Consider the following 13,157-nt stretch of genomic DNA (forward strand, 5'->3'; position numbering starts at 1 on the left):
TTCCCTAATACTCATAATTTCTTATGCCTGTCTTACATTTAATCTCTTAATTCTGTTATCTTCGTAAGCTGAGGATGTACCTCACCTCAGATCCACTGTGATGATTGCGTTAACTGTACAAATTGATTGTAAAATGTGTGTTTGAACAATATGAAATCAGTGCACCTTGAAAATGAACAGAATAATAGCGATTTTAGGGAACAAGGTAAGGGAAGGGAACCATGAGGTCTGACTGCCTGTGGGGTTGGGCAAAAAGAGCCATATTTTTCTTCTTGCAGAGAGCCTATAAATGGACATGCAAGCAGGGAAGATATCCCTAAATTCTTCTCCTAGCAAGGAATATTAATATTAATACCCTGGGAAAGGAATGCATTCCTGGGGGGAGGTCTATAAACGGCCACTCTGGGAGTGTCTGTCCTACGCGGTTGAGATAAGGACTGAAATACGCCCTGGTCTCCTGCAGTACCCTTAGGCTTACTAGGATTGGGGAACCTCGCCCTGGTAAATTTGAGGTCAGACCAGTTGTCTGCTCTCGAACCCTGTTTTCTGTTGTTTAAGATGTTTATCAAGACAATACGTGCACAGCTGAACATAGACCCTTATCAGGAGTTTTTGATTTTGCCCTTTGCCTTGTGATCTTTATTGGCCTCAGAAGCATGTGATCTTTGTTCTCCTTTTTGCCCTTTGAAGCATGTGATCTTTGTGACCTACTCCCTGTTCATACAACCCGTCCCCTTTTGAAGTCCTTAATAAAAACCTGCTGGTTTTGCGGCTCAGATGGGCATCAAGGACCTACCGATATGTGATGTCACCCCTAGCGGCCCAGCTGTAAAATTCCTCTCTTTGTACTCTTTCTCTTTATTTCTCAGATCAGCTAACACTTAGGGAAAATAGAAAGAACCTATGTTGAAATATTGGGGGTGGGTTCCCCCGATACATCAATGCTGCTCTGATCAAATATATGCTGCAATAATTGAAAAAATAACTGAATATAGATTTTTTAAAAAAACCCTTGAAACCCTAGAGTCACAAGACATTTTTTAAATGTTACTTTCTATTTGATTATTTCTGATGCAGAGAAACATGATTTTAAGCACAAAGACGTTGAATTGCATTACAATAAAATTATACGAAAGTGAAAACTACACAAACTCTCCACACAAAATGACTCCATCCAAACCCCTGCATTAATACGCTTGACCAAATTTTAGCAGGGCTTCTAGCAAGGCCATGTCCCTAGAATGACTCCAGTCCCCGTCAAAATGCCAAGAAAGTTCAAAGCTGTCAGTAGAATGCATTGTTTGTTCTAGCCAACACCTGGTGATAAGCCAATAGGCTCCTCAACCCCTCTTTACAGCAGTTACTTTAGAAAGCTTGCAATTATAATCCTTTCTCTGTCCCTTTGAGATGTAAATCTTCTACCACCTAGTGTGTTTCCTGAAGGACCTGGGATCAGTCTCTTTGCAATATAAACACTCAAGGAGCCAACTCTCTGTGGGAGGGTAAGGGCCTCACTTCCATGGATGCCTTGTTCCAACTTGCACAACTACCTGCTGTCATAAAGACATGAGCAGTTTGTTTCTTCTCCAGATAAGTGCCAATTTGCAAACCAAGATGGTTCAGTTACATGGACCAAACCTCCCTTAACGCCCCTTGTGCCTTTCCTTTCACACACCCCAGTGTTGAAAAAGTATTCTGCCTTTTTTGTTTTGGTGAAGCTGAGCTTGGTTTATGCTGGGCTCTCTTCCCTCTGCAGTAGTTAGTACTTAAGAAAATCTGTCTTTACTGCCTTTAAAAAGTATCTGGCTTTCTCTTTGACAAAAGACACAGTAGAAATGGTTTGAGGAAAAGGAAAGATGCAACCTTTCTGACAGCTGTAGATGTGTTCTTGTATGTTTTTAAGTGATAGCAGTAGATATCAAATCACATATGTTGTATACAAATAGAGCTATGTTACAGTTTTACTTTAAATGTGAATATTTAAAATGTGCTGGAAACTATGCCTTCCTTTGTAATCATTTAAAATTATAAAATTTTTAGATATCAAGTGTGTGAGAGGTAATCAGGTGATTTTAATTTAGCTACATGAGTAAAAAAGGTTCAAGTTCACAGCTTTGTAGCACTGTTTTCCTAAAGTGTGATTTTCAGACCACCTGTATTGAAATTACCTAAGTGCAACCTCAAAAAAGCAAATTCCCTGGCTCTTATCAGGCTTACTGACTCAATCCGTGGGTTTGGGAAAGACATCGGCATTCGTGGAAAGAAACCAGTATCTTGCATGAGCATTTCCTGGTTAATTCTAATAGCAAAGAAAGTGTGCAGCTCTGGAGCCTTTAAGCTTCTGAGTGACCCAACCAACTGGCCAATGGTGAGTTTAGGAGGTGAATGGAGGTGGGTCCTGGGACTTGAAACAAAGGTACAGTGAGGTGGTCACTGCAAGAGTCTGGACAGAGTGGATGGGGTTGAAGGAGACAGGCGATTTCGGTTGTAAATGACATTATGTTAAAGGACTGAAAAACACTCCTATGCTGTCTTATGCCAGCTCCTGGAGCAGGCACTCCTCTGATGTATGTCGTCAGCTGCCAGTAAGTTGACACAGTAGCTTTCAAACTTTTTTGCCCAAGACCAACAGTAAGAAACAATATTATGTATCAAAAGTCAATTATTATACATATATATACACAGACATATTTGCATATACTGAAAGCAAACAAAAATGTCAGGAAACGATATGACCCCCTACTAAGGGGAGATACATTCTGATGTTTCCGATCCTAATCCACAGTCTAGTGGTCTGTTTTGCTTGTGTGTCTTTAATGCTGACCACAATGCTCAAACTAATTACAGGACCCACTAGTGAGTTATAACTCAGAGTTTTTAAAGCACCTGTAAATCTGCTCTGATGATAACAGGATGGCTTGCAGGAGCCAGCAAACATTGGAGCCACAAAAGAGACATCAAATTATCTCAGCTATATTTAACTAACTTCATTAAAACAATAAATCACTTTATGTTTTGCTAATAGCCTAACAGTCATCTCTCTGTGTGCTGATGCCAAATGCTGTGTGTGCTTTTATGGTGTACACTCTCCTCACCAGGCTGTGGACCCCCACTTAGTCATTCTTTTCTTCTCAGTGCTTAGTATAGCACGTTAAGTGCTGTTTATAAATCGTATAGAATATGATGAAACGGTATTTTAAATATTACGCAAATGAAAGTGAAAGTTAAGTTTTAAAATTTTTGCTTTACTAAAGCTAATAAAATATTCAAACACAAAAATAATCATACCTGTCTTGTCACATTCATTTATACACTTAACATCACCATAATTATGCTTTTTTGCTTAATTATCAATTGCTCATATAATAAAAGTGAGTAATGCAGGGTATAGGCCACTTTACCTTAAACTTAACCCTTTGCCTTGTACAATAACCACAGAAATAGTATTACTCTTCAGCAAAGTGTAGATGGCCCTCTCTTTTTTACTGCTCACTTTCAGCAATGATACAAGCTAATACATTCCTAAGTTTTTCAATAGCTTGAAGGTCACCTTTATCTTCATGGAGAGGGGCATGAAAAATGTTAGAAATGAGATGAAATGTTACTGAAATCAGTAATAAATACATCTATTGTTATTGAGCACATACAGGCCTTAACAAAATTTGAAAGCATTCATTCACATTTTCCATTTAGAAATCTTCTATTACATGCTTGTAGTGGTATATACCACAAATTGTTATTATTAATATCATTGAAAGTAGGTCCACTGTATTTATAGCAAAATCAAATGTTGATATGAAAATCTAGGTCTTATCCTAACACTTCAAACTACTCAGGATCATGCAAAACCAAGAGTTAGATCATCCAGGGCAATCTCATCCCTCTCACCAGAGTGACAGGTAATCCAGGCTGGTGCTAATTAGCATCTGCCATACCAGGGGCCACAGGGTTGATTCAGGAGTGCTCTAACCAGCATAAAGCTTAGAACTTTCTGTTTGGTCTTATAGGAGGCTCTGTCACTCTATCTGGATGGATGTGAATCAGGAAGCAACATAGCCCCAGTTATTACCAGGTATCGTCCTGCAACTACTACAACAAAGTACTTTATGGTGAAACTAACATGACAGAAAGTAGAGAAAAGAAATGGAAAGAAACTGGCTCCGTGATGAAGCCTGCTGCTTGCACAGCCAGCCCTGAAGTCAGCCCCACCTCTGGATCTTTCACTTACAAGAGCCAGTAAATTTTCTGGTAGTTAAACCAATTTTAATTGTCTTCTTACTTGTGTCTAAAAACACTCTAAAACTAATCTATATGTATACAGCAGTGATTATAGTTCCTCATTATACAAAGGCAAAAACTTAACTCAGAATATAGAGTAATTTTCCCAAAGTCAAAACTGGATAGAAACTCTGGAAGGTCTGACTATAAACCTGTCTCTTTCTACATTACCCCGCTACTATTAAAATAGCTTATGATGTGTCTAAGATCTATCAAGATTCAATTCAATTCAACACACTGAGAGCCTACAACATTAAACAATAAAGTTTCCCAGATTTTCCTGTGTCTATGTTCATTTAAAATTGTTTTCTCTGTTCTCCTCATGAGAATTTTTAATACCTGGTGATCAAATGGCATCAATCTTTCATAGTCTTTACTCATAGGGTGGCATAAAAAGGCCCTCATCAGATGAGGCATACTGGACAAAAAATGGTTCTATAATGATTAAGGAACTCTGCGAGGTGATTCAGTGAATAAAATGTTAAATAGCTGGTGGAATTTCCTCAAGGCACATTCAGGAAAATACAGTATGAAAACAAATGCAGGTAGCACACATGCCCACATTGCAGTAATGAGCCCAAATCCAGGTGTTTGCTGCTCATGCCTCAGCTTGGGCCACCATCATCTCTCCCACATCAGGCTGCAAGAGGCTTCACAATGAAATTTCCGTGGCCCTCCACTTCTGTTCCTTTCTCCAATCATCACAAAAGTGGTGAGATATATGTATCTTTTCTTGAGACAGGGTCTCACTCTGTTGCTCAGGCTGGCATGCAGTGGCATGATTTTGGCTCACTGCAACATCCACCTCCTGGGCTCAAGAGATCCTCCCACCTCAGCCTTTTAAATAGCTGGGACTCCAGGGTTTTCACCACGTTGGCCAGGCTGGTCTTGAACTCCTGGCCTCAAGCAATCCGCCCGCTTCAGCTTCCCAGAGTGTTGGGATTACAGATGTGAGCCACTGCACCCAGGCTAAAAGTAATCTTTCTAAAACAAAAATATGACAATGTCACTACCTGGTTGACAACTTACGTCTAACTGATCCATTCCCAAGATGAGGTCTATCCTTTAGCCAGGTATACAAGAGTTTTCATTCCCAGGCCCCTTCCTATCTTTCTGGCCTCATCCTATGCTCCAATTTATACCATATTATTTAAAATTAACTAAAGGTACTAGGTTATTTCATGTTTTTATTAAAACTGCTAAATATGTCTTGAATGTTCCCATCTTTCTAATATTTCCTTCTGTAATGCTCATGACAAATACCCTCATCAGTTAAAGACTCAGCTCAAATACCTTTTATACTACGGGGCCTTTCCTGGCTATATCTCCAGCTCCACTGACTCTATTATTAACCATTTCTACCTTTCTGCCTCCACATCTTTAACTGAGTTATTTGTTTACCATCCCCATTTATGAAGAGATCTCCCTGGCTGTCAAGTCGACATCCTGCGATAGCTGCAATTTTACATCCTATGGGTGCCACTACTTGATGAAGCAGTAGGCACTAGCAGTGAGGAAAGGGCATGGCTGTTTATTATAAGTTTCTTCACTGCACAGGCTAGATAGTGTATTTATGAAATAGCTATTAGGAGATAAATCTGTCTGTAAGTTTGAAAGGTACTTAAATGAGAGGAGGGAGCTTATACGATGAAGAAAGAATGGAAGAGCAAAGGGAGTCCAAGTCACTAAAGATTTACAGTTGAGTAATAAACAGCTGCAGAACCATGAAGTTTGCCAGAAAGAGGAGAGCACTGTAGTAGGGAGGTTATTTTCAGATTCCTTTCCCTCACTGCTTTTATCGTGTTAAAATATGTTTTGGTATTTGCTGGACATAATTCTGAGATCTTTTATTTATTCCTCTGTCTTCCCCAAGATTTACACCCCCTATGAATTTAGAATCCACATGCTTTGCAGGAAGGAGAGTGTATTCCTTCCAGCTTATTAATGAGCACCAACAGCTCAGCATCCCACCAGAGTCCTCTCCAGGAGCAGAATGCATTAGCATTTATGATTGTACTGCGTACATGGTCCTTTGGCCAATTTTCAATCTCTCCTACTAAATGATTACCTTCGCCAATGTGAAATAATTTTCCAAGCACAGAGAAGGAGTTTTCAGCTTGCCAGTCAGGCCAGTTAATCACAATCACCCCGGATGGGCTTCTGCAGCCAAATTTCTCAGGCAAGGGAGGTAGTGGAAAGCAAGAGTTTAGGAGCGCGCCCGTATGTGAATCCTGACTTTGTCAATTCTAGCTCATAAAACACGGGAGCAGTTATCTAACTTCCTTGGGACTTAAATTCTGTGTCTGTTAAAATGGTGACAAATTTACTTCATGGAGCTGGTGGGACAATTCAGTCATGTTACAACATCTCTTCCTCCTCTTATATAATAGCATCTGGTGGAAAGGCTGGATGTGACGAGGGAGACGGATGAAAATGTTTTATCTGCTCCACAATTCGAGTGCAGCCTGAGTGCCTAGGACAGACTTTTGGAGGCATTAGTTCCCCTTATTATTATTATGTGGTGACACTGACATCCTTAAATCATCTTTTCTCCAGTTCATGCCACTATTCACAAGTATTCATCGGCTTCGTGTTTCCTTTCCACATCATATGCAAACTTCTTTACTTGTCTTTTGAGGGACTCTTCATAGCATATGGTCCATTTGGGCCAAATTAACTTTCCAACTTACTAAAGGTAAGACATTGTATAGGCTGATAGGCATGCAAAATACTTATGTCTTGGCTGTGCCTACATGGCTATATCAGGCTACAATGACCCTTCTCTTTTCAGTTCCTTTAGCAGAAAAGTGTCATGCAATCTCATGCGATCAACATCAAATTTGGAATCAGGAGACCTGTGTTTGAAAAAGGAATTGGATATCTCCTGCTTGTTGAACTTTGGCCAATCACTCTCTAGTAATCTGACCCTCAGACCAGAGATGATAATACTTGCTTAATAATCACCCTCACAAGATGTGTGTGAATATCAAATGAGCTAGGGTATAGGAAAATTATAATCCTCAAATTCAGAACTCACTATCATGCTATCTTGTATTCCTTGCTTTGTTTTTGTGAGTGAATACACTGTTTTCCTAGGTTGCAAGTCCACTAGAATGAGGGACCATATCTCAAACTTCCTTTGGGTTCTCACTACAGGACTAGCATAGGGTTCGGTAACAACAAAGCAGCAGCAACTACAATATTAATTTTAAAAAGTAGCAAATATGTATTTTCATACTTACTATGGCCCATGCATGGTTCAAATCACCACTACTACGAAGTTATGTAGGTAAGGAAACCTAATATTTGTACTTTATAGTACAGAACTGCCTGAATTGGAAAGGGAAGATTCTAAATGTTTTAATCAACATGGAAATCTGCATAAAGATAAAAGCAGGCACCAGGCAAGAGGAGAGCAAAAAGTGAAGAATAAACAGCAGGGTAAGTCCAAGAAAAGCCAAAGCACTGGAGAGGAGGTAGGTTTGTCCAAACCATGCAAATTCTAAGGACAGCCGATAATACGGTTTGGTTCTGTGTTACCACCCAAATCTTGCCTTGAATTGTAATAACCCCCATGTGTCAAGAGCGGGACCAGGTGGAGATAACTGAATCATGGGAGTAGTTTCCCCCATGCTGCTGCTGTGATAGTGAGTGAGTTCTCACAAGATCTGATGGTTTTAGAAGGGGCTTCCCCCTTGGCTGGGCACTCATTCTCTTTCCTGCCACCCTGTGAAAAGGTGCCTTCCTCCATGATTGTAAGTTTCCTGAAGCCTCCCCAGCCATGAGTCAATTAAACCTCTTTTCTTTATAAATTACCCAGTCTCAGGTATTTCTTCATAGCAGCATGAGAACTGATGAATACAGCAGACATTGTTAACATTTTGAGAGCTCCTAAGTACGGCTACAATTAAAAACTAAAAGAGGCACTCATTAGGATGCCCTTAAGGGGCCCCAGTAATCTTACTACATTTTTCTTGTCTGTCTGCTTTCCCAGTCTCCTAAAACACTACTTTGTACCTTACCCTCTCTTCTCTCCTCAAATCTCTCCTGCTATTGGGAGAAACCGACAGGATCCTATCCAAGGTGAATTGTTCCACCTGGATTCCAGGTCTCATCCACTCTCACCCATTATGACAGAAACACTGAAGATTTAAAAAATATAATATTTATTAAAGGAAAATATGTAATAATGAAAAAAATGATGATATATGAAGGAAAGGGTAGAATTTCTTGATTTCAAGATTGCTTGTCAGTGTTTGTTGGTTTCCCCTCATCCTCAATTCTTAATATTGTAGGGTCCTAGGGCTTCATTCTCTCTCCTCCTTCCTTCTCTACCTACTTACTTACTTAAGGATTTTACCGAGCCTCCTAGTTGTGACTCCTCTTTATGCACTGAGAATTCCCAAATGTATTTCTAGTCCCTACCTCTCTAATACACTCTAAATTCATATAGATAGCTGTCCACAGCTCAACTTGGATGTTTGAAAGCCATATCAATCTTTTAAAAAACTATTTTGAAATAATTATAGATCTAAAACAAGTTGCAAAATAGTACAGAGAGATCCTGTGTAGCTATCTATCACCCAGCTTTTCCCACAATGACATCTTACAAAAAGCCATATCAATTTTAATATATACCAAATCAAACTATACCCAGAAGCTATTTCTTGACATTCAGTAAATATTATCTCTTCTTTGTACACATGGCATTTATTAATATACTTAAATAGTATTTCTTATCTTATAGTTCATTCAATATGCATGCATGCATGCACACATATGCTTCAATAAACTATGAGCTTCGCAAAGGCAAGGGCCATGGCAATCTTTTATTTGTCTACAGCATGCAGAATAGTGACTAAACATTTCCTGAAAGTATTTGGAACAAATAACCTTATTCAGGCCAGAATCAAAGGAGTCAAACAACTAGACCAAAGCCAGAGATCAATGGGCAAAATACTTATTTTGATCAAAAAAAAAGTTTGAATAAACAGTTTGTGTTCTCTAACCCTGAGAAAACATTATATAACACTTTTATAGTTGAGTTCAGTATGATTATAGATTAGCAACAACAATAACTATAAAATTTAGTGGGGGAGAAGGTTAAAAAAATGAGTATACCACTTTCTGCTTAGGAATAGAAGCTTCGCAAATGCAGTGTCTTTAAGACAAATATGCATTAGATATATATCTTTCCTATTTAAAAACTTACGAAAAAGATCACAAGATCTTCATTCAAAGATGTAATGTATATACCAAAAATTATAAAGGTCAATGTAATTTAATATAAATATATAAACCTCTAGACACTGGAAAAGGCAAATAATTACACATACATGTATTTTATTCAGCTTTAAAGTGTTATATCTTGAATAAAGTAAAATTAACTTACTTATAAACAAACAAAAATATGTATGTACATATGACAGTACACTTCACTTTGACAAATATTTTTCAATAATTGTTTCCCATTTTTCCACTTTGGCCTTAATGACAGTACTTTTATAAAGTATTATTAAGCCTATAAAGTCTCTAAAATCTTATTATATGTGAGGTTTGGCTCCAAAAGATGTACTATTATAGTGCATAAAATGTATAGTGATTTCTGTAAAAGACAGATAACCTCTAAGGTTTTATAATTTATTGTTAGCTAGACATTTGGTTGGATATGTGTAGAAGGAACTATTTTCTCCATCTTTCAAGTTCCTACCTTGGCCCATAAAGCAGGAAGCTCCCGCTATGAGTCCCAAGATGTCAAGTACTCTTCACTCTCCCATTTCTGAGGAGAGAAGGAGTGGCATCTGATAAGTGAAGTGGGGAGAAACAATTGATACACTCTTCTGGTATTGTTGTTTTCCCAGTGGTAAACATCTGTGGGTCAGGACCAGACGTTTGCTGCAGAGAAGTATATCCGTCCAACAATGGTTACGGAGGCTCTGAGAGTGACTAGCCTGAGTTGATGTGTGCTGAAATACACACTGCATTTCAAAGGCGTGGTTTTTTTAAAAAGGCAAAAGATCTCACTGTCATTTTTATATTGATCACATGATAAAATGGTAATACTTAGGACAATTTTACCTAATTTGTTTGATTTTTTAAAATGTGGCTATTAGAAAATTTCAGCCTCCACATGTGGCACACATGATAGTTCTGCTGGACAGCACTAATCTGGGGGCCACCTCGCTGGAGCCCACAAATAGGAGGCAGACCTTCTGACAAAGCATGTATGCTCTGCAGAACTGACTGTCCTTCCAGGGCTGTCTGAAGATTGAGTGCAGGGAGTAGTATAGGAGGACAAAAATAGCAGAAAACTGACATGGAAAACAAAGCCACAGTCTCCAGGCCAATTCTACCAACAATAAAGCTGGTATTTTCCTTTCTGTGGTACCTGATTCCTCTGTCTCTTAACTGATTGCAACTTGAGAATGGACAATGACAATTATTTATTACTTTTTCCTGATTAAAACCCGAAGGCATGATAGAAATATTTCTGCTCCCCTGGAAGTAGCACAAGCACAAAATTCAGGGAGAAGCACGCAGCAAAGAAAGTGGTCTTCTCTAGGTCCTTAGGGGTTTAAGTTTCAAAAGCTTCTAAGATTTCAGTGGAGAGTTCTGCCCTGGGTGGTTCTCAGCTGAAACAAAAGTGGCACATGAGTGGGAAACCTGCCTGGGAAGCAGGTTTCTGAGTCAAGTGAGATTCCCCAGCAAAAAGACAGTGACAGCCACTGGACACTTAACTGAGAGGAACACGGGGCTTCAGTGGGGAAATGGAAATCAGGAAGGCAGAGTGACCACGGGCAGGGATATGTGAAACATATCAGTCTCTGCCAGAGGAGGCAGTATGGATGGACGGATACATTGTCTTTCCTCCATGGTAGACATATGCCTCAGTTAACATCCTGATGGGAGACTATTTAAAAATTTTTATTTTATTGATTGATTGATTGAGACAGGGTTGCCTATTTGAATTGTGAGCTGAAGTTGCTGCTTTTTGCATGCCGGGCTACTTTTGCTTACATTTTCTTCCAAGTGAACAAAGCGAGACTGTGACTTCAAGAAAAACAACACAGAATTTGTTGTCATGATAAAATTGGAACTTTCAAGCAAAAATTCAAATTTTGGAAAACTTGGATCCACCACTGTAAGGCTGACAGCTTCCCAATACTTACAGACTTAGCTGCTAAGTGCTCATATTAATGAATGAGATTTTTTAAAATATTCTCTGATGCAATCTATCAACATTTGGATCATCTATATAACTCAGGGAACTGAAACTTCTAAATGCCTTCATGCAATTATATTACAAAATCATACCTGGGAAATAAATCCATTCAAGTGCAACCTAGACCAACAGTTTTAATGCGACAGGGTACAAAAAGTTCAATAATATGGCTTTGTATTTCACACTGCAACTAGTCTTTAAGACTTTATCACATGTTGAGTTTCAGTGTAGTATCAAAGAAGAATACTCCAAATTATAGGCTATTAAAATATCTCTCCCTTTTCCAACCTCTTATCTGTGTAAGGCTGGATTTTCTTCACCTACTGCAACCAAAACAACAACAGACTGAATGCAGAAACTAACATGAGAATCCAGCTGTGTTCTATTAAGCCGGACATGAAAATGTAACACAGTGCTGTTTTTCAATTATTTTCTGTCTTGGAGATATAGTTGTTTTTCATTAAATATGCTATTCATGTCAACCTATAATGGGTCTATTATTGGTATTTTAAAATAAATTAAGTTTAAAATTTTGTCTTTAATTTTTTTTGTTTTAGACAGAGTCTCTCTCTGTCGTGGCACGATCTCGGGTCAGTGCAGCCTCCGACTCCCTGGTTCAAGTGATTCTCCTGCCTCAGCCTCCCGAGTGGCTGGGATTACAGGCATGCGCCATCATGCCCAGCTAATTTTTGTATTTTTAGTAGAGACGGGGTTTCACCGTGGTAGCCAGGATGGTCTCAATCTCCTGACCTCGAGATCCACCCACCTTGGGCTCCCAAAGTGCTGGGATTACAGGCATGAGCCACCATGCCCAGCCTGTCTTTAACTTCTAATATGATAAATATTATTAGATATAACCTTCATAAACAAAAACTCTTTAGAATCCTCAATAATTCTTAAGAATATTAAAGCATCCTGAGATCAAAAGTTTTGAGAATGACCAATCTATAATTATTTAATCAACCACTTAAGTATAAAGTACCTACTTTATACTGTGCTAGGACATAGGAAATAAGAGATAAAAGGCACCATCCCTGTCCTCAAAAATTTCCAATTTCATTGGCAATGTACTTCTCAATTAACATAACTTAAAAATTCTTTTACTGTATAATTTTTAAAAACCTTCATTTCATGTTTCTTATAAACATGTCTTTCATAGCTTAATGTCTCCTATGGAAAATAATACCATATATGGCACATAGCAAATGCCTAAATACTTCATGATTCACTCTGAATCTGACATATGGCATCAGAAAATCATAATATACATTAAATAAACATTTTAATGTCAGTTTCAGACACTGATTACTCATGGTGAAAGAGGTACTGCCATCCTTAGTTAAAAGATAGTATTGGCAATATAGAGACCCTGAAGTTACAGCTACAATGCAACCTTTTGATCAAGACTTAAACTTATACTATAGATTTCACTTTTTGGTCAAATTATGCTTTTTAAGATTAATTTATTCTACCAGATTTTTATGCCAACAGGCTGAATAATAGGATAAAGGAGGAAACGGTGGCTTATTTAGAGAATCTGAACAGCAAACAAAGATACTCTTATGCTGTTTTCATAACTCCAGGAGGCAGAACCAAACAGTGGAGATCAAAATTAGGCAAAAGATACCTTTTATTAAATAAATAAAGCAAGTAAGCA

At 38.4% G+C, this 13,157-nt stretch overlaps 1 protein-coding gene across 11 annotated transcripts in view, besides 1 other annotated feature; it reads right to left on the reverse strand.

Moving 5' to 3' along the window:
* The window catches only part of NBAS (NBAS subunit of NRZ tethering complex), a 782,426-nt gene that overhangs the window by 479,237 nt on the left and 290,032 nt on the right, over window positions 1-13,157 (reverse strand). The window lies entirely within an intron of this gene.
* Window positions 1,048-1,874: an enhancer, noted in NCBI's record as "OCT4-NANOG hESC enhancer chr2:15399317-15400143 (GRCh37/hg19 assembly coordinates)". NCBI's record gives its function as "activates a minimal SCP1, AML or CMV promoter by ChIP-STARR-seq in naive and primed H9 embryonic stem cells {active_cell/tissue: H9 hESC(naive and primed)}" and the evidence as "EXISTENCE:reporter gene assay evidence [ECO:0000049][PMID:30033119]".

Source organism: Homo sapiens, chromosome 2 (assembly GCF_000001405.40).
Source record: "Homo sapiens chromosome 2, GRCh38.p14 Primary Assembly".
Lineage (NCBI taxonomy): Eukaryota > Metazoa > Chordata > Mammalia > Primates > Hominidae > Homo > Homo sapiens.